Raw genomic sequence first — 20,528 nt, forward strand, 5'->3', positions numbered from 1 at the left:
GAGTAGCTGGGATTACAGGCACCTGCCACCACACCTGGCTAATTTTTGTATTTTTAGTAAAGATGGGGTTTCACCATGTTGGCCAGGCTGACCTCAAGTTGATCCACCTACCTCAGCCTCCCAAAGTGCTGGGATTACAGGTGTGAGCCACTGCTCCAGGCGATAAAAAGTTTTTTAAATAATAAAAAGGGCCGGGCATGGTGGCTCACACCTGTAATGCCAACACTTCGGGAGGCTGAGGCAGGCAGATTGCTTGAGCCCAGGAGTTTGAGAGTAGCAACATAGTGAGACCCCGTCTCTACAAAAAAATTTAAAATGAGCTGGGCATGGTCACACATGCCTGTAATCCCAGCTGCTCTGGAGGCTAAGGTAGGAGGATCCCTTAAGCCCTGGAGGCGGAGGTTGCAGTGAGCCAAGATCGCACCACTGCACTCCAGCCTGGGCAATAGAGCAAGACCTTGTCTCCAAAAAAAAAAAAAAAAAAGGCAAAGAAATGTTTTCTCAAACACTTCCATATTTGAGAACCCAGCTAAGGTATCTAAGGTGTAGATAAAAATGTAAGTTATTACGTCCTTGCTAAGCAGAAACAGTAAATGAGCTCAAGAATTAGCATTCTCTTTATGATTCTATTTACTAACTTGTGTACGTAAGCAAAGGCTATGGAATAAAAATGTGGCAGGGCCCCGTATTTGCTGAAATGTAGAAGGCATGAGTATTAGCAAATATTTTCATTTGCTTGTGGGCATTAATGATGCTCATAAAGATAGAATGGAAAAGAAAAAGAAGAATGGCTGTCTAAAGACAAAGGAAACGATCCCTGGGCTTTACCCACCTGGCCCACACCAGCATTCAGGCTGACCCTACTCCTCCACACTTTGCGCTTAGCCACAGGGGTGCAGGAGTGTGAACCAGCACCTAGGTCATAACTTTGTTCCCTGAGGACAGGAGCCTTGACCATTCACACAGCCTCAAATTCTGCCAGAAGCCCTGCCAGGTCCCCAAAATAATGTGGAACCAACTGGCATTTTAAGAATCCACAGCACCAACCACACACCACACTCTCACCTTCACCCATGCATAGCTCCCTGAGGGCGCCACCAATTAATTCCTTCATTCTTTTCATCCATCCATCCCCAGCCAGCCAGCCAGCAAATATGCAACAATGTAAATCTTTAAAATTCCCTATACCAGGCCCCGTGCTCACAGCCACAGATACAAAGGACTACAACCAGGCCTTGACGATGAGTGTGGTAAGAGTGGGGACAGCGGTTGAACAGGGCTGAGGCCAGAGTGACCAGCGGGTGGAGGGGAGGAAAAACATCTTTCCTTCTGCTCATCCTAGGTTCATGGCTGAGGCCCCTATCACAACAGACAGATTAACAAGAGAGGCCAGGCACGGTGGCTCACACCTATAATCCTAACACTTTGGGAGGTCGAGGCGGGCGGATCACCTGAGGTCAGGAGTTTGAGACCAGCCTGACCAACATGGAGAAACCTCGTCTTTACTAAAAATACAAAATTAGCCGGGCATAGTGGTGCACACCTGTAATCCCAGTTACTCAGGAGGCTGAGGCAGGAGAATCGTTTGAACCTGGGAGGCGGAGGTTGTGGTGAGCCAAGATCGCACCATTGTACTCCAGCCTGGGCAACAAGAGTGAAACTCAGTCTCAAAAAAAAAAAAAAGGGAAAAGCACGCAACTTTACCGAATAGCAGTTTTACATGACATGGAAGCCTTCATAAGAAAATGAACATGTGAAAAAATAGTTAAATTTGAGTACTTTTTTGCTAGGTTTGAGGGACAGTGGTGGAGAAATGTGGCAGGGCAGAGCATATGATGGAAAGGCCATTCATCCAGGAACTCAGCAAGGCCTGTCTCTTCACCTCTCTGTGTCCTGTGTCGGGAGACACGGCTGCTCCTTTCCTCCAGGCAGAGGGACGGCGCCTCTCCCCTGAGGGTCTGTAACCTGCATCAGGGGAAGGTTGGAAAATCCTTCAGAGGTTTTATGACCTGCTACAGGGAGAAGGGTGAGGGGAAGGTCACAGTGACCTTCCTGCTTCTGTCATCTTTTCAAATTCCTTCACTTTAAAATATCTTAGGACTGCATGTCCTGAACCCCGTCACAGGGAAGGAGAACCAGAAAAGCCATCTGATGGTTGGGCAGGAGCAAAAGAGGCAGAGAGCACGCCCAGAGAGAGGCGCAGCAGGCCTGGGGGTGGGAGAGGGTGTGCCATGCCCCAGACCTCAGTGAGATCACGGGGCAAGTGGCACTGTGACCAGAGGGAAGGCACGAGACCCATGCTGGGCTGGCCCATAAGGCGTGACATGGTGCAGACTGCATTCTTGGGACAAAGAGCCACAGAAGGGTGTCTGAGCAGGTGAGTGAAGTGGTCAATTTTAAAACAATCCCATTAGCTACACTGCTAGGATGGAACAGACAGGAAAGAATCAGAGTAGCCAGTTACGAGTCTGTGGCAGAGCCCCTGTAGTCCCAGCTGCTTGGGAGGCCAAGGTGGGAGGACTGCTTGAGCCCAGAGTTCAAGGTTGCAGTGAGCTATGATCCCGCCACTGCACTCCAGCCTAGGTCACAGAGCAAGGCCCTGTCTTTAAGGAAAGCGAGGTGGGGAAGCAGGGAGATGGTGTTAGGGCCAGTGGGGAGACGTGCACAGATTCAGGTGCAGCGTGGGAAACAGGTTCACGCCCACAAGGCATCCAACTGGAAGTTGGTGCTGAAGGACGCTAGCAAATGCCAAGATGTATAAAAGTGCAAGGCAGAAGGTCAAGAGAATGAAAGGGTGTTTCTGATTGGGCATAAGTGTCTCCTGAGAGGGGAGCTGTGGGTGAAGGAAAGGGTCTCATTGCAGCTGGCATGGCTGAAGCACCTGGCCGGGATACAGATGGAGTCTGCCTCCCTTCGAGGTTTCAAAGGACGACCAGGATCTCTGTCAAATGCAATCCCACCAGGAAGGTAGGGAGAGAGAGCAGGCATGTCTTCTCAAGGGCCCTTCCAACCACTGCAGGTTTATGTCTATGAAGCTATACCAGAACATTCTGTAGCAAGAGCAACAGAAAACGGATGGGCAAAAAAAAGAAAAGAAATAGCAGAACTGGTTTAAAATCAGGCAGTGAATCACCCAGAACGATGACCTGACCACCAAGCCACCATAGGAAGGAGCCACGGAGCTGCCTCCTAGGCCAGGATCCAGAACGAGCCAAGGGAAGGCCGAGATATCCCCAGGGTACCTCTTCTCAGCAGCACAAAGAGGAGTTTATTTTCAAAGACAGTGGAAGCTGGAAAAGATAAAAGCCTTGAAATTGAAATGCAAACAGGAGAGCCCTGCCAGAACAAGGCTGTGTGTCTTTCAAACCCCATCTGAGAAAGAGAGGCTACCTCCACAGAGCTGCGTCAGGGCAGGGTCTGGTCACCTCCTGGGACAAACAGGAGGAAGCTCGCATGGGGACCACCACCTAGAGTGGCAGCCCAGGCCTGGGTCCCCGCCACCGAAGGGTCCGCAGAGCACTCCTGGGCATCCTCAGGTGCATGCCAAGATTTCAGAAAGCGTTACAGAAGTGACGCATCCTTCACTACAGCCAAGATACGGAAATAATGTAACTGTCTGTTGATGGACAAATAGATAAAGAAAATTGATGTATTTACACAATGGAATACTTTTTGGCCATGAAGAAGAAGGAAAGTCTCCCATTTGTGCCAACCTCGATGAACCCAGAGGACAGGATGCTAAATGAAATGACCCAGGCACAAAAAGATGCATATCACATGGTCTTCCTTATACATGGAACTGAAAAAAGCTGAACTCACAGAAGCAGGGGGTAGACTGGTGGTTGCCAGGTGCTGGGAGAAATGGGGAGATGTTGTCAAAGCATGCAAACCTCCAGTTGTAAGCTGGTAAGTTCTGGGGATCTAGCATGGTGATTATAGCTAATAGTACTGCAGTGTTTACTTGAGACTTGCTGAGAGGGTGGACAGTAAGTGTCCTCACCACACACATGCAGAGGGTAACCATGCTGGGTGATGGATGTGTTCATTAGCTTGACTCAGTAGTTATCCCGTCACAATGTCTATGTCTATTGAATCATCACTTGTACATCTTGAACATACAGTTTCTGTGTGTCAATCATACCTCAGTAAGCTGCGGGGGAGTGACACATTCACCACTGGCCATCAGTAAGACTGGACAGGACCACCAAGGCAGACATAGGGGGGCTAGAAACCCAAAAGTGCAGATGGTGACCCTACTTACCACATACAGATAACAGAGACTAGAAGAACAATTTGATCCTCTTCATGATGCACTTTTTTTGGAAGACAAGTCTTTTCAAAGAGAAAGATGACAATAATAACGAAAACGCCCCAGAGGACACAAATTTGGAACTACGGGCCTCAAGGAAGCCACAACACCTGGTATTCTCAGCATTTCTTGGTCCCTGACAGACCTCTTTGACCAACTGCTTCAAACTGACACTTTCTCTTTCTGTCACCTCAGATAAATCATTTCACCGCCCTAAAATGCAGGCTTCTTCATTTGCAGAATGAGAGAGGGAGACTCTGTGCACTCCTTCTGTGCCTCGCCTGTTTCTCCTAGGGATCCTCAACACCCTTCAGCTTGTGGACAGCAGCACACGAGGACACTGAGCATTCTGTTTGAGTCCCTCTAGTGGCTGCTGAATGGCGTAGTGACTCATGTGGGCTTAGCGAGGGCAGGAGCTGTCTCACGGGAGACTGCCCCCCACCCGCCTTCCACAAATGGGGGAGAAGCAGGAGGCAGCAGCAGGCATGTGCGTGGTCTATCACGGCCCTTTTAAAAACTGCTGTTACAGAAAATGTCAAACTGCACAGGAATAGAGAGGAGGAGCGTGAACCAGCGTGTGCCCATCAGCCAGCTTCAGCCACTGTCCCCTCTCAGCCAAGCCTCCTTCCCTCGGCAGCTGCCCATGCTCACACCCTTTATGCTCCACTCATATTATTTTTGAATCAAACCACAGACATATTACCATTTCATCCGTGAATGTTTCAGTGTACATCTCTCAAAGATAGGATGACTCATTTTTATAAATATAACTATAATACCATTGTCACACCTAAAAAACTTCACAATTTATTATGTTACATTTACCCACTCATGTCCCTAAGGAGCGGTCACACAGCTTTCATGAGTGAACACAACCTCTTCTCATTGGGAACATGAGGAGGGAAGGGGCTGTGAACACCTAAAGTGAGCAGACACGCTGAACCAAAGCTTGGATTTTCTTCCGTGACAACAGCTGGGTCTCTGCGCTTTGAACACACTCGTGATCAGCAGAGGAAAGTCAAGTTCAGCATGTCTGGCTTCATACTTGTGGAGAGGAGGTGGGGTAACAATAATGATGATAATGCTATTAATAGCAAAGGTGGAGGAATTAATAAATGACCACTGTGCCAGGCGCTTCATAGGCCTCATCTCATTAAATCTTCACACAGCCCTGTGAAGAAATGCCCTTCACCTTCCAGAGACAGGGAAGCCAAGACTCAGCAAGATTCAGCAACTTGCCTGAGACCTCATAGGACATCATGGCACCGGGGTTGATGCCCAGTGTGTCTGATGCAGAGCCCAGGTTGATGCCCAGAGGACACAGCCCAGCCCTCTACTGTGCTGGTGGAACTTTGCCCCACACCAATGTTGGAGGAGAGGGTGGCATTGCTCCAGGCATCCCTCACCACACCCCTCCCCCAGTGCAGCCCATGTGTCCAGGGACCATGTCTTGGGACAATCTACGCTCTTCAGACCTCTTTCCCTCTCTTCCCACAGTCTCCAAAGCAGTCGAGTCCTCTGGAAAGCAGTCAAGTCCCTCTGCTGAGGGATCCTCTGCTGGGGATCCCTCAGCACCCATAGGAGGTGGCACTCACCGAACTGGCCGTCCAGTTTCACGTATAACTCAATGACACCGTAGGCAATGGTGGTGGCAGCTGGGATCTCCAGCACCACGTTGGAGTCCTTGGTGACATTCCCATCCTCCGTCGCTGACACCTGTGGGCAAAAGCGCACACTCCCACCTGTGCACTCGGGCTCTCCAAGCTGCTCTGTTCCCCACTGCAGCCAGCCTCGTGCCTTATACATAAGAGATGCTGAGCAATGTCCACAGAACCGAGTGGAACAGAGGAGCCAGCCAGCATGGGGGATGGGGGGATTCAATCCTTGTTGGCATCAGTACACAAATTCCCAAGTAAACGGCCAACCTGGTGGCATCAAAGCGAGATTATAGAGCGTGGGATACAGTGAAGTTAGGTCTACAGTGCTGTGCAAAGATCATACGATACGTAAGATCACCTCCCAATTCCCTCCATCACAGGTTATGGAAACAACTGAAATCCTAATGAAAACCTTAAACAGTAGCCAAGTTGGACTGGGAGAACCTAGCTGAGAGGGCCCCCTACCCCGTGCATATCACTCCAGACCCCTGTAGATGGTGCACAGTGCTGATAAAACCAGGAACAGAGAGGGAAGTGGGAAGAGGCCGGAGGGAGGAGAGGCAGGAAATGCCAAGAAGTCAGGCACCAAGCTCCTGCCTTTAAACACTCTCACAAACAGGACCCCTTCCCACGATGTCCTGGTGAGAGGAAGATGAGAATCTATTTGTTGGCCAAACACTGGCAATCAGAGAACTTTTCTTAGCAACTTGATCCTGGTCAGAGTGTGTTGCTTTGGGTTGAGAAATGGCAGCTGGCCTCCTGACTCTGAAAGGCTTCAACACTTTGGCAGGAAGTGACTGTGGCAGGAGCACCAGCAGGGCCGGCCTGAGCCATCTCCCATCGGCGCCTCCCTCGCTGCTACCCAGCCCCAACCCAGTAAGAGTGCTGGCCCCAGACCTCTACCTCCAGCTCCTTCCAAATACAACTTTCTGAGTTCCTCTAGAAAAAGCCAAAAGTCATCCCAAGAAGTAAATCTCTAAGAAAATATCAGCCACCATGGCAAGCTGGAGGAGAAAGAGTTTGGGGCTGATGGCCACCTAGTCCATTGAAGTTTAGTACTGGCTCACAGATCAGCTTGGTAAGACTGTCAATAACTTAATCTAGAAGAATCTATGTAGAGATAGCTAGATCTTACCTGCCCTAACTCAACCCACAAAGGATTTGCAGCAGCTAATTCCAAGTAATCACTGTGAGAGCCCCAGCTCTGAGAGGCTCTAGGGATTCTTTTGCATTTGGCCTGATCAGTGCCTGTGTGTTCATTTTTCTTGGGGAAACATCTGCCGCCCACAGGAAGAGCACCTGACGCCAGCCCACCTGGCCCATTCGAGTGCCTGCAACCCTGCCCTGCTTCAGGAATGAACATATCCCGGGACGGTCTGGTGAGACCCAGTCCTAGGCCCCCCTCACCCCTGGAGTTGCAGCAAATCAGGAGCAAGCCTGGAGCTGCCAGCACCATAGGGAGAGCCCATCTGAGAGGGCATCAACCCAGGGAAAGCAGCTCCCTATATATCCTCAAGGCCTGGATCCAGCAGTGACTGGAGCCAGTTTCCCCAAGTGTTTCAGCTACATGAGCCAATACACTCTTGCTCATTTAAGACAACGTGAGTTGGGTTTCTGTTAACTTGCTACGGAAAGAGTCCTGACTAATGAAGACACCACCCAAAGAGGCCCCCAACCAAGGTCTCCAGGACTGCTCAGCCATGAACGCAGGGCAGCCCGACTGCACGCACCTGCACCGTCTTGGTCTGGATGCCCACGATGCCACCACACTTCTCCTCGACCTGCATGTGCTCAGAGATCACACACTTCTGCATCGTCGTGATCTTCTGTGTCAAAACGCACAGGACCTCATTCCTTCCTTCCAGCACCTGCTGGAGCACAGGGTTTCTCAGATTTATTGTTCTGAAAAAGAAAAACGGATGTGAGTGGCTTAGTGCCTCAGGGGACATTGGTGTAGTGTGAATTTCCTCTTGCACAGCAGGCAGCTGAGGAGTGAGCAGGTGACAGCCAGGCTTTGTTGATTTCCTCATGATGAAAGGGGTGGCAGGTCACCTGGAAAGACATAAACCAAACTCTCTTGAGGCCACCTCAGAGCTGCCGGGCCTCTGGGGGCCAGGCTAGATGCCAGAGGGAAGGGGGCTTTCAGTCAAACAGCAGCGCCGGTTGTCAAGGAGAAGAAAAGAAAATCAACCAGGGCCAGGCGTGGTGGCTCACACCTGTAATCCCAGCACTTTGGGAGGCTGAGGCAGGCAGATCACTTGAGGTCAAGAGTTCGAGACCAGCCTGGCCAACATGGTGAAACCCTGTCTCCACCAAAAATACAAAAATTAGCCAGGCGTGGTGGCACACACCTGTAATCCTAGCTACTAAGGAGGCTGAGGCACGAGAATCGCTTGAACCTGGGAGGCGGAATTTGCAATGAGCTGAGATCATGCCATTGCGCTCCAGCCAGGGCAACAGAGCAAGACTCCATCTCAAAAAAAAAAAGGAAAAGAAAAGAAAACTAACCAGGAAGGAAACTGCAATCCATGTACCTTAGACCCTGGAAACTCCACTTTTTTATTTAATCAGAGCTGAAGGATGTCAGACGTCACAGCCATGGCCCAGGGAATACAGGATTATGATGGGAGGAATGGTGACCAATTGCTTCTCATTGAGAAAGGAATAGGCCTAAAGTATGAGTAGCAAGAAGGAAATTAGATTTGAACTAAGAGGAAACTTCTTAACCTGTCTAGGAAAGATGTTTCATCTCTTAGAAGGGGTTTGATGTCTTTTTACACATGGGGAAACTGAGGCTGGTTATGCATGGCCTATCCAGAGTCACTCAGCAGAGATTTGGGGCTCCCACCCAGCCACTTGAAATTCTGCAAACTTTCAAGAACAGACTAAATTTTTATTTACAGGAGATGATTTCATGCTTAGAAGCAAATGATGAAATAACTTCTCTGGAGATCTCATTCAATACTATGATTCTATGAAATGGACAGGAAAAGAACCAAACTAGAGTTGGTGACAGCACAAGAAAAATTATGGTATCCATGCTGGTCTTTTTTTAAGAGGTTAGTTACCTTGAAAAGCTCAGCACCCATCCCTGACCACACACATGCTGGGTCACCCATCCTAGACAGACTCAGGTTCTCTGGGCTTCAGAAAGTAGCCCTGGAACTGGAGTGAGTAGCTAGGAAAGTCCCATCTCAATGTAATCACCTGCCCAGAATAGAAACAACTCACGTGTCCATCAACAGATGAATGGAGAAACAAAATGTGTTATAGTCATATAATGAGATATCATACAGCCATAAAAAGAAATGAAGTTGGGCCGGGCACAGTGGCTTATGCCTGTAATCCCAGCACTTTGGGAGGCCGAGGCAGGTGGATCACCTGAGGTCGGGAGTTCGAGACCAGCCTGACCAACATGGAGAAACCCCGTCTCTACTGAAAATGCAAAATTAGCCAGGCACATGCCTGTAATCCCAGCTACTCAGCAGGCTGAGGCAGGAGAATTGCTTGAACCCGGGAGGCGGAGGTTGCGGTGAGCTGAGATTGTGCCACCGCACTCCAGCCTGGGCAACAAGAGCGAAACTCCGTCTCAAAAAAAAAAAAAAAGAAGTGAAGTTCTGACATCTGCTGCAACATGGGTGAACCTTGAAGACATTATGCCAAGTAACACACTCCAGGGACAAATGAGCAATATTGTGTGGTTCCTCATATGAAATATCTGGAACAGGCAAATTCATAATGACAGAAAGCAGATTGGAGGTTACCGGGGCTGCAGGGCTTCGCTGCCTGATGGCTGCAGAGTTCCTAGTTGAGGTGACGAAGAAGTTCTAGAAATGCAGAGTAGAGATGACGGCACAACAGGGTGAATGTATTTAATGCCACTGAATTTTACACTTAAAAATGGTTACAACAGTAAATGTTGTGTCTCATCTATTTTACCACAATAACAAATAGATAAGACATAGGAAAAACGGGTTCAATCTTAGTACTGGTTAAGGAAATTCAAATTATAAAAATGTCTCACACGTGATAAAAATACATTGATGACAACCACAAAGCTGCCGAGAGACTCCATTTCCAGGAAGGAACAGGAAACAGGGACCCTGGAGCCTGCAGGGCTGGGGTTCGGATCTCAGCTCTGCCCTCCCACTGGGCAAGCTCGAGTGAAGGGCCACCTCTGCACCTAGGTTTTCTCGTGCATGAACTGTTGGTAACAGGGCCCCCTCCTCATGGGGTTCCGTCAGGGTTTAGATGACATGCATGCAGTGAGCCATTAGGGTGTGCCGAGCACAGAGTTAAATGCCACACAAACACTAGCTGGCTCCGCCCACCTTCCCGTGTCCCTCTATGAGGCTCACAAAACAAAGCCACAGTGTGTGCCCTGCATGGGAATTATGGGGCACTGAATTGAATCAGAGGTACGTTTCCACATCACTCCCTTCTTAAAAGCCTTCAATGGCTATATCCCATGTCCAGTGCGTTCCCAGGCTGAGGCCCCATGTGATCTGCCCTGCCCCCTGTTGACTTTATCTTCCAGCCTTCTTACTACTCCTTAAAAATGCCAGGTGTGTGCCTACCCCGAGGCGTTGGCACACATTCCCTGATGGCCACATTTCACTGACTCATTGGTCACCTCCTCGGGGAAGCATTCCCTGCACCCCCATCATGCTATCACACCCTAAGATCACTTCTCTGGAGAGCACATTTCCACAGGATATTTTTCTAGCTCATTCATTTATCTGCTCATGGCCTGCCTCCTCCATCAAGAATATAAACCCCACAGAGGTGGTGAGTGTGCTCTCCTGTTGACTGCATATCTCAGGGCCAGGATCAATGCCTAGTACGTAGGAAGAGCTCAGGAAATATTTTTGGAATAAATGAGTAAATAAAACTTGTGAGGTTTTTTCCTCTATTGGTTGAATGAATGTGTACATATGTATTTGTGCATCCACGTGTGAAAGACAGAAGACACGGAAGATGGGGGAAATGGAGGATCTGCAGCTTGGATCAAAAAATGGTGCATAGCAGATGCGATCTTCCTAAGGGATTGCATGTCTTGGTCCCATAGGCAAAGACTTTAAAGATAAAAGCCATTGTAACCACCGGTCAGAACATACATTCAACTGTTCCCTTTCCAATGGTCTCTTCCTTCTATTGCTCAAAATTCTAGCAGATTCTTGAACGTCTGTCTGTGCCCTCACAACTAAGGCATGGGCTCCTCCCAGCTAGACGCACGTCAGACACATCACCGCCTGGTGACGACCCCACAACTGCCGCCTTTAGGAGTCTGATGTGACTCTGCTGGATTGGAAATCACAGCCCTCCTACCCGCCCTAAACAGAATCCACTGAACACTGGACACTGCTCCTAGCCAGTGTGAAATTGTTTGAAAAGAAAAAGCTCAGCCTAGACTACTCAAGACTCCACTGCTTAAAATGCCCACCTCCCTCCAGAACCCCCACCTCAAACACCAAAAGAGAGGGGCAGCCATCTACGCAGGTGGGCAGGCAACTGCCTGCTGTATCCGATGACAGGGCAGTCCTGAGACGCTTGCTGAGTCGCTGCCTTCAAAAGGTCTCTGTGGGGCGGACCCACCACAGCGCAGGAACAGAAGCTCGCCCAGGGACGGAGACTGTCTCCAAGGCTAGGATTCGGGTGACCAGAAACGTGTCACACAGCCACAGCTCATGCAGGCCACTGGGAATCCTTCCCTGGGCAACCAAGGCAGGGCTGCCGGAAACTGCAGGCATCATCCACCTAGCAGCAAACACTTCCACCCAAGTCACTGGGATTCTGTTTCCCAGGACAGTGCTGCCACCTTTTGGAAACCAAATGCTGGAAATATTTAATCATCTTCAGTTAGGAGAGGCCCCACAGGGACAGCGGGGAAGCTACACATCAGGGAAAATGGATTTTTCGTTTGACTCTCTGAAAAGCAATCTCGGGAGGGAATTCTTCCCCATCTCCTCCCTCAGTCAATTCCACCAAGCCCCAAGCAGCCCCAGGGGGAGAGCTGGTGTCCCCTGGGGACGGTGTTCTCAGGTGCAGACCCAGAACAGTTCAAGGTCACCAGACCCTGGCTCTGGCCCTCCTCAGAACAGAAATCACCATGCAACAGGGCTCCCCTGTGCCCGCCTAGTGCAGAAACCAGCCAAATTTCAATGCAATTTGTTTACTGTATAACCTTATATATTTTATTATAAGCATTTAAAGAGGCCCATGGGTTTCTTCAACTGCTAATAGAGTTCATGAAACAAAACATTTAAAACTCTCAGTTGAGGGTTTCAGAAGAGTTTAAAAAAAAAGAGCCTAGAGAGGTTGATGGTAGTAACCAAAGTCACACAGCTGTGAAGCCCAGGTCTTTTACAATGGCCCACATGGCCATAGCACCCATAGCTGCTGTCTCCCTCTTCTGGGTGAGGGCACCCTTGGGCTGTACTAGGAATTGAATCTTCATCTCTATTAACTCTTGTATTGCTATGTTCATTTCTATATGTAAATATCTTGCCTATGTAACCAGACCAGTAGATGGAGGCTGGAAAAGCAAGTTATACCCAAGTCCTCTGGGAATCCTTATCAGAATATCCATGCCTGCCTGTTCTCCCCAAGCCCATCTCACTCTCCTCGTGGCTGCCGCCCTGTGCCATTTGACAGTTCTTCCCCAACTTGTCCTGATTTCTTTCCTCTCGGGCCCTGTGAGAGCCACTGAGCAACACAGACAGAATGGCTTTAGAGACACAGAAAACTATTAGTAGTGGTCGCCTCTTGGGTGGGGAACCAGATGGCGGGGAGGGGCTTTTCACCTTTTCTCTTTTGACCTTTTGACATTTAAACCATGTGAATAGATTGCCCAGTTCCAAAAAAAAAAAAAAGTATTTTAAAAAAAGGCCTTCTGGACAGACTGTAAGCTCCTGGAGGACAAAGTACTTGCTCTTTTTATTGGTGCCTAGCCCTGTGCTATCCACCCAGCTGGGGGATAAAATGAATGGTTTATCACATAAACCCGGGCAGGACTGGAATGAGACCCTCTCCCCAAGTCCAGCCAGGAGCCAATGCCCAAAGACAGGGAAAATGGAGCAGAAGCTCTTCCAGGAGAAAATGAACAAGCAGAGGTTCTTCATCCGCTTCACACATCTAAGGGCAGGCTCCTTGTTCTTCCTGGCGGGGGCGGCAACGTGAAAGCAAGAACAGGAGGCCACTGAGGCAGAGGCGTATATCCTCAACAGAAAGGGCCAGCCCCAAAGGAGCAAGTCTGGAGGCAGGGGAAGGGGGTGCATACTCAGTCGAGAAGAACTCCCTCTCCTCACTCAGGGGCTTGGCTCAACTCCGCCCACCCAGTTCTACTGTGAGGTTGCCCTTCTGCGCGTACCTGGCAGGTCGATATAACACAAAGACCTGGAGTCATCCCGGAATCGGTTCCCTGCTCCAATGTGGTTTAATGTTTGTCCCTTCTAAGTTTCATGTTGAAATGTGATCCCCAGTGCTAGAGGTGGGCCCTGGTGGGAGGTGTCTGGGTCACGGGGGTGGATCCCTCATGAAAGGCTTGGTGCCCGCCTTGCAGTAATGAGTGAGTTTACACTCTGAGTTCACACTGGTTAAGAGTGTGGTACCTTCCCCCTCACTCTCTCTTGTTCCTCTTTCTTGCTCCTGTTCTTGCCATGTGACATGTTTGCTCCTCTTTCACCTTTTTCCATGACTGGAAGCTTCTGGAGGCCTCACCAAGAGCAGATGCTGGCACCATGCTTCCTGTACAGCCTGCAGAGCCATGAGCCAATTAAACCTCTCTTCTGTATAAATTACCCAGTCTCAGGTATTTCCTTATAATAATGCAAACAGACTAACTCAATCTCCTCCTAGCTGAGCTACTGCTCCAGTCCTGAAGCTTAGTTTGCACATCTGTAAACTGAGAATTTGCTATGAGGGTTACGTTCAGTGAGATCTTGCATTAAATGACCCACACTCTACCCAGCAGATGGCAGGGGCTCTGTAAATGTTTTTTTCCTTCCACTATTGGCAGGGAAGGCAAGTCAAGACCCCTTTCCAGGGTGGTCAAAGAAATGGCCAGAATTTTCAGGATGCTTTATAAGGGAGCCCTCAGCCAGGTGTAGGAGGACGAGCCGCAGACAAAACTCCTCAGATACCAAGTTAAACAAGGAAGGGGTTTATTCGGCCGGGAGCGTCGGCAAGACTCCTGTCTCAAGAGCCAAGCTCTTGAGTGAGCAATTCCTGTCCCGTTTAAGGGCTCACAACTCTAAGGGGGTGCGCATGAGAGGGTCGTGATCGATTGAGCAAGCAGTGGGTACGTGACTGGGGGCTGCATGCTCTGCTAATCAGATTGGAACAAAATAGGATGGGGATTTTCACAGTGCTTTTCTATACAGTGTCTGTAATGTATAGATAACATAACTGATTAGGTCAGGGGTCAATCTTTAACGACCAGGCCCAGGGTGTGACGCCGGGCTGTCTGCTTGTGGATTTCATTTCTGCCTTTTAGTTTTTACTTTTTCTTTCTTTGGAGGCAGAAATTGGGCATAAGACAATATGAGGGGTGGTCCCCTCCCTTAAGGAAGTGGACCCTCAAAGCAATTAAGAGCATGGCTCCATGGACACAGGACAGGAGTTGGATACAAGACGCGGATACATTCAAGACAGCAGCTACATGATACAGGACGAGAGATGGCTGGAAAAGGAGACCAGGCAGGAGCTGCTGGGAGGCGGCAGGCAGAGATGGAGGGAGGGAAGCGTGGCTCAGAGCCCAGCGTGGTTGCTGGGGACCAGAGCAGCCCAGCAGGAAGGGAGGCTCCAGCTCTTCCAGCATCCATCAGCTCCCCAGGCCCAGCCCTAATGAAGCCGCCTCCTCTCCCAGCCTGAAGCTTTAATTTCCATTTTCTCTGCTTCTAAGACTTTCAAGAGCCAAAATGCAAACTCACAGAGGAGAAACCCAGAGACAACTTTTAAAAGTCTGACAATATCCAAAAGGAGGGAAGCAGGTTTCTTTACCAAAGCATAAAGGAGGTCCCGGGGATGCCTCCTGCAGAGACACAGGAGGGCGAGCTTTGTCATGCAGACCCCACACTTCAACTCTCCTTCATTCATCTCCACAAATACCTGAGTTCTGCTATGCTCCAGGCACCAGGCCAGATGCAAGTTTCTCAGGGAAGAGGCCAAGGCAGCCACCACTAGCAGGGTCCTCTTACACAAAAACCCTTGATAGTAACAATGGTAGGCCGGGCGCGGTGGCTCACGCCTGTTATCCCAGCACTTTGGGAGGCCGAGGCGGGCGGATCACGAGGTCAGGAGATCGAGACCATCCTGGTTAATATGGTGAAACCCCGTCTCTACTAAAAATACAAAAAATCAGCCCGGCATAGTCCTGGCTACTCGGGAGGCTGAGGCAGAAGAATGGCGTTAACCCGGGAGGTGGAACTTGCAGTGAGCCGAGATCGCCCACTGCACTCCAGCCCGGGGGACAGAGCGAGACTCCGTCTCAAAAAAAAAAAAAAAAAACCAATGGCCTCGAGGAAGAGTTTCCAATGGAAACCCTGGGGAGCCTGGTAAGGCTCTCCAAACCCCAGGGGACATCATGACAGAGCAGGAGCTTTTGTTGAGTCTGCTGTGGAGAAATTATAAAACTAGAAGGGACCCAAGGGGATTATCTAGCTCTGGGCAGAAACTCAGGTTCATCTTTATTTTCACCTTGATTAATCCATCAGCTATTACTGCCTGGCTGTAGGAAAAGGATTCTAAGGCTGAGTGTGGGCTGGAAGACAGTAAGGAGGAAGAAAGCTGTGATTAAGTGGCAGTGTCTGCTTGGACATGGGAGGGGGATGGCCCTGATCACCTAGATCTAACCCAGTGTCTCTGCTCATTAGTGAAGAATGTGCCCCAGAGAGGTGACAGGCCCACCTGAACCACATGGCCTGTTAGTGGCAGTGCCAAAATCAGGAACTGCATCTTCTGACTCTGAGACCAGTGTGCTTTTCCACTACACTCTTCTAAAGAACAACAAAAAGTGAAAGGTACAAATGCAGACTGAGGAAATGGTGCAGTACTGCCAGAGCTGGTTTCAACATCTCCCCAGAAACAGAGATGGGGACATGACAGAGAGCCAAAAGGTGGTGGCCAGCCTGCTGCTCAAGGAATATTAAGCAAGAATTACTAACCCACAGAAACAGAGATATGTATTGATGATAAAGGCTTTAGTAAATCCAGAACTTCTCCCAAGGGTTTTGATTTATTGGCTAAAACTACAGTTTACAAAGGATCACACGTGTGTTCACACACCAGCTGTAGAGTAGGAAAATTAGGTCCACAGACATTGCCTGTAAACTCCTTGGCTTTGCCTTTGTGACATTTCATTAAGTGGGAAAGTCTGCTTCTCTCTTGATAACCAACCTCCTCCAGTCTACAGAGATGGCAGAGTTTTATTTCAGTAACTGCCCCCCTAAAATCCTGGAACACACACACCATTGCCTCCTTCATCTGCCGATTTCCCCTCCAAGGGAGGCTCCATTCACCCTTTTCAAAGACTGTAAGCTTTTTGACAACGAAGGCAGGAGAGCAGCGCTCAAACCACATCTGTGCTGCTTCTGCAGGAACTGTCCCCAGCATCCTGTACCGGGAAGGCTGCAAAACCCTCCCACACTACGAGTCGGGGGTGCCACTAGCTGCCGTCCCCAGCACTGTTCGGGAGCTAGGGGGGCTGTAACGGGAGGAAGAGACAGGGTGCACCCAGCCCTGCCAATGAGTCTTGATTTGTCTCTCGGCCATTCTTGGTCACTCCGTTTTTCTTATCAGGAATCGGGGGCAATTCTGGCCAATGAGACCTGAGGAAAATCTGTTAGGGGTTCTCAAGTTTTTCTCCCTCTTAAAAAGGGACACAAAGAAGAGGCCACTTTTCTGCCTCTGGACCTTTTGTCTGCAATGTGGCTGCCATTTAGGGACCAAGAGAACTTGAGCTGCCAGGACAGATGGCGGCTGCCACAGGGGCCCACAGAGCCACCGAACTGACCTTCTGCCGTTAACCATTCAGTCAACCGGGACGCACCCTCTTCGAGATGTTTTCTTATGTGAGATAATAACAAATGTTCTTTGCAACCAGACACCCTAACTGGTATATGAAGTGACCATCATCCTTATTTCAGAAAGCAACAAGAAGCACGAAGAACTCAGAAGCCAAGGGGCTGGGTGAGAATGCAGCTCAGCACCATCCACCCTCGAAGCTCTGCGCCCATCTGCCTCTCCCTCCTGAACCTTCCTGGGCCCTGCATACAGAAGGCGCTTAATGCATGCTTGATTGTTAAAGAACTGGCAGTCTTTCTGCTCCATCCCATGAGAGCTTCCCAGAGTCAGGAAGTGGATCCTCTTGGAAACGAAAGCAGCCGCCCACTGTCTCCCCCGCAGGTACTAGCAGTCCCCATTTCAACCACGTTTCATAACAGAAACTTCCCACACATCAGAGATGCTCAGCCCACAGCCGGGGGCAGGAAATCTCTAGAAACCTCAACTCCTGTGCCCTGGGCCTCCACTTCCAACACAGTGAGATAAGCCCTGCTCTTTCTCTCTCTGTCACTTGGCTGTAATGTAGATGACTTCAGGATTGTAAAATGCTGGGAAAATCAAAATTGGGGCAGAATGCTCACTGCACATTGTTGCCAAAGTGACCAAGTCACCCGCAGACTGTGGCTGCTCCGCCTCTGTCCACATTATAGTCTCTAATACCTTATCTTACTCACATACGACGACCCCTGGAAAGAGAAAGGAAAAAATGACTGAGAACCTGTAGATGTTCAGCCCTTTAGACGAGTAATTAATTAACTGCAACCAGTGGATGAAATGCAGCAAGCCTGGAAGATGATAAACCAAACGCAGCTGATGCCCAGAAGTGACTTCACGCCAAAGCCCTTGGAACATGTGTCTGTTTCCAAGCTCTGTGCATAGAAGTTGGATCGGAAAAATCATGTGTTTAGTGAACTTGGTTTTAAATCCTGAATCTAGGCAAACTAATTAATTTCCACATTCAGGCTCCTCAGTTGTAGAATAAAGATAAACCAATTATCCTTTCAAGCAAACTGGGCTCAGTGTGCCAAAGGCACTGCGCCAGACCCCACAACAAAGGAGGCAGGGCGTTCCAGGAGGGAAACGGACACAGACGCAGGCAACTTCCGACACACTTGACCCTACGGCGTGGTTAGTATGCCACCAGGGGTGATGTGGCTCCTGAAGGAAGTGGGGTCTAACCTAAGGAATACTGAGGAATTGGCTGGGTGACACAGGAGAAGTGAGTCTGTGTGTGTCCTTCATGCCTCTGTGCAGACAGGAGGAGTGAACATCAGACAAGGACTGGAGGTAGAAGGAGCCTGGAGTATTAATCCCAGGAACTGAAATTAGCTCAGCGACTGACCTGGAGGATGTGAGGGCAACTGGTGAGAGATTAGGCTAGAGATTGAAAGCATGGCTCTGTTGCACAGAGGAGCCTGTGGGCATCCTCCTAGGACAGGGGAGAGCACAGAAGGCATGGCTGGGCAGTAAGGGGATCCGACTGGCTACCCTGTGGAGAATCAACTGGAAGGGGAGAGACGAGAACAGGTAAGAGATGGTTGGTGGAGGCCTGCACCATTTCCCAGAGAAACTGTCATGAGACTGGGGGAATGGGAACAGATAAGGTTGATATTTAAGAGGCAGAATCAACTGGTAAGAGACAAGGTGTGGGAGAGAAGGTGAAGAAGGAGCTATGTCTGATATTCAGATTCCTGGCTAAACCAACTGGACTCATGCCTCACCCACCAGCTCACTGGAGGGTTCAGAGAGATGAGAAGTGCAGTGATGAGTTGAGTCTCTGTGTCAAACACTATATGAACAGCCCAAGTGGAACAAACATCTGCTCACCTGAATTCTAACTCCTGACTCATCCCAGCCATCCTGACTGTAGACACTGCAGCTCATCAGTTCTGAGACACATATTTTTTTCTTTACATTTTAACATCTCAGAAATCAGGATGTTTTAAAATTGATAGGTGGCATAGTTTAATTGGCAGTGTTCTTTCTCAATGGTACATAGAATAATGGTGCCTCTTTCAATGGATGACATCTTGGATTTGAAGAAATACAATAATGCCTATCAGTCTTAGAAGAAAATAGTACTTGAATGATTCTTCTTAGGACTTAAATCCTACCTAGTTCCAAAAAGATCTGAAGTTGCCTTTAAAAATAAAGCTCAGCTGGGCACAGTGGCTCACACCTGTAATCCCAGCACTTTGGGAGGCTGAGATGGGCAGATCACAAGGTCAGGAGTTCAAGACCAGCCTGGCCAATATGGTGAAACCCCGTCTCTACTAAAAATGCAAAAATTAGCTGGGCGTGGTGGCACGCACCTGTAGTCCCAGCTACTTGGGAGGCTGAGGCGGGAGAATTGCTTGAACCCAGGAAGCGGAGGTTGCAGTGAGCTGAGATCGCACCACTGCACTCCAGCCTGGGCAACAGCAGAGTGAGACTCCGTCTCAAAAAAAATAAAAAAATAAAAAATGAAACTCATCAGACAAGGTGATTTCTGTAAAAAGACTAAAACCACTCCCAAGAACAAGTATTGGAGGGTCCCCAGCACACCCTTCTCTACAGGAAGCCACCTTTACACTGTGAAAGGAAGCAACAGAAGTCAGACAAGCTTTCAGGGGCTCACTAAAACCAAGACCAGGAGACAGAATAATTTAGAAAAAAATTAATAAATTGGCAGAATTTCAGATAGCACAGAATTTAGTGTGGCCTGGGGGTCTCAGGAAAGACATCTTTTAAAAAGAGTGGATTTCGTGGGGCCTTGAGCTTCACAGCTTTGCTTCCCATAGAGAATATGGTGAGCAGGACAAGGCCCATGAAGGTCTTACTGACATTGCTCAAGGGCTCCATACACCTTTACTTAAGAATCAAATCAACATCTCCTGCCACAAACAAAACATGTACAAAGAACAGCCTGTGTGCTATGCAGACTTCTCCGTAGCCCAGCTACACGTCTGGATCAGCACTTATTTTGGGGAACACGGGTTGCATGCAAGAACCAGAGCCCCGCCGACTTTCACTGGAGGTGGTCAGTCGCTCCACGGTGGAGTTCAGAATGGTGACCACGCAGGTGCCTACCTCCTCCACGGGAGAGGAAAACAAGAGCTCAAACAAAACATCATGCTGCACGTGGAAACGCCAAGGACTTCGCCTCCTTCCTGCAGCTCTGTGGCTCCCTGTCTGGCTCTCAGCAAGCTGCATCACACCTTCCCTCCCCGGGAGCTCTGGCGCTTGCCAGATTTGCTAGGCAGGCTCTATACTTATTGCAAGTGGTAACACTAACAGTTACAACTAATGAGAACTTGCCACATGCCAAGCACTACTATACCTGCCCTGTTTATGTTCTCTCATTGAGTTCTCACAGTAACACCGATCCCATTTTGCTAATCAAAGAAATTCTGGGTCGTGAAGGTAGGAAAAGGTGTCCCATGTGTCTTGGTTTAAAGAAAAAGATCTTTGGGTAAGCTGGTTAGGAGGTGGCATAGTAGCATTTATTATGTTATTCCTTA

The 20,528-nt window shown here is 49.2% G+C and overlaps 1 protein-coding gene across 5 annotated transcripts in view, besides 9 other annotated features; it reads right to left on the reverse strand.

Annotated features, from left to right (window-relative positions):
• The window catches only part of GSDME (gasdermin E), a 97,185-nt gene that overhangs the window by 12,995 nt on the left and 63,662 nt on the right, over window positions 1-20,528 (reverse strand). For all 5 annotated transcript variants that reach the window (XM_024446670.2, NM_001127454.2, NM_004403.3 and 2 more), the window contains 2 exons: window positions 7,698-7,869; window positions 5,905-6,025 (listed from right to left, as the gene is read on the reverse strand). In XM_024446670.2, coding sequence (XP_024302438.1) covers window positions 5,905-6,025; window positions 7,698-7,869 — 293 coding nt within the window. The remainder of the gene's footprint in view (window positions 1-5,904; window positions 6,026-7,697; window positions 7,870-20,528) is intronic.
• Window positions 6,331-6,918: an enhancer, noted in NCBI's record as "H3K4me1 hESC enhancer chr7:24757299-24757886 (GRCh37/hg19 assembly coordinates)". NCBI's record gives its function as "activates a minimal SCP1, AML or CMV promoter by ChIP-STARR-seq in primed H9 embryonic stem cells {active_cell/tissue: H9 hESC(primed)}" and the evidence as "EXISTENCE:reporter gene assay evidence [ECO:0000049][PMID:30033119]".
• Window positions 7,205-7,404: an enhancer, noted in NCBI's record as "active region_25749". NCBI's record gives its function as "activates an Ori minimal core promoter by ATAC-STARR-seq in GM12878 lymphoblastoid cells {active_cell/tissue: GM12878}" and the evidence as "EXISTENCE:reporter gene assay evidence [ECO:0000049][PMID:35858748]".
• Window positions 7,525-7,714: an enhancer, noted in NCBI's record as "active region_25750". NCBI's record gives its function as "activates an Ori minimal core promoter by ATAC-STARR-seq in GM12878 lymphoblastoid cells {active_cell/tissue: GM12878}" and the evidence as "EXISTENCE:reporter gene assay evidence [ECO:0000049][PMID:35858748]".
• Window positions 9,212-9,311: an enhancer, noted in NCBI's record as "active region_25751". NCBI's record gives its function as "activates an Ori minimal core promoter by ATAC-STARR-seq in GM12878 lymphoblastoid cells {active_cell/tissue: GM12878}" and the evidence as "EXISTENCE:reporter gene assay evidence [ECO:0000049][PMID:35858748]".
• Window positions 13,035-13,718: an enhancer, noted in NCBI's record as "H3K27ac-H3K4me1 hESC enhancer chr7:24764003-24764686 (GRCh37/hg19 assembly coordinates)". NCBI's record gives its function as "activates a minimal SCP1, AML or CMV promoter by ChIP-STARR-seq in naive H9 embryonic stem cells {active_cell/tissue: H9 hESC(naive)}" and the evidence as "EXISTENCE:reporter gene assay evidence [ECO:0000049][PMID:30033119]".
• Window positions 14,403-15,086: an enhancer, noted in NCBI's record as "OCT4-NANOG-H3K27ac-H3K4me1 hESC enhancer chr7:24765371-24766054 (GRCh37/hg19 assembly coordinates)". NCBI's record gives its function as "activates a minimal SCP1, AML or CMV promoter by ChIP-STARR-seq in naive and primed H9 embryonic stem cells {active_cell/tissue: H9 hESC(naive and primed)}" and the evidence as "EXISTENCE:reporter gene assay evidence [ECO:0000049][PMID:30033119]".
• Window positions 15,087-15,768: an enhancer, noted in NCBI's record as "OCT4-NANOG-H3K27ac-H3K4me1 hESC enhancer chr7:24766055-24766736 (GRCh37/hg19 assembly coordinates)". NCBI's record gives its function as "activates a minimal SCP1, AML or CMV promoter by ChIP-STARR-seq in primed H9 embryonic stem cells {active_cell/tissue: H9 hESC(primed)}" and the evidence as "EXISTENCE:reporter gene assay evidence [ECO:0000049][PMID:30033119]".
• Window positions 16,089-16,308: an enhancer, noted in NCBI's record as "active region_25752". NCBI's record gives its function as "activates an Ori minimal core promoter by ATAC-STARR-seq in GM12878 lymphoblastoid cells {active_cell/tissue: GM12878}" and the evidence as "EXISTENCE:reporter gene assay evidence [ECO:0000049][PMID:35858748]".
• Window positions 17,179-17,288: an enhancer, noted in NCBI's record as "active region_25753". NCBI's record gives its function as "activates an Ori minimal core promoter by ATAC-STARR-seq in GM12878 lymphoblastoid cells {active_cell/tissue: GM12878}" and the evidence as "EXISTENCE:reporter gene assay evidence [ECO:0000049][PMID:35858748]".

This window comes from Homo sapiens, chromosome 7 (genome assembly GCF_000001405.40).
Source record: "Homo sapiens chromosome 7, GRCh38.p14 Primary Assembly".
NCBI lineage: Eukaryota > Metazoa > Chordata > Mammalia > Primates > Hominidae > Homo > Homo sapiens.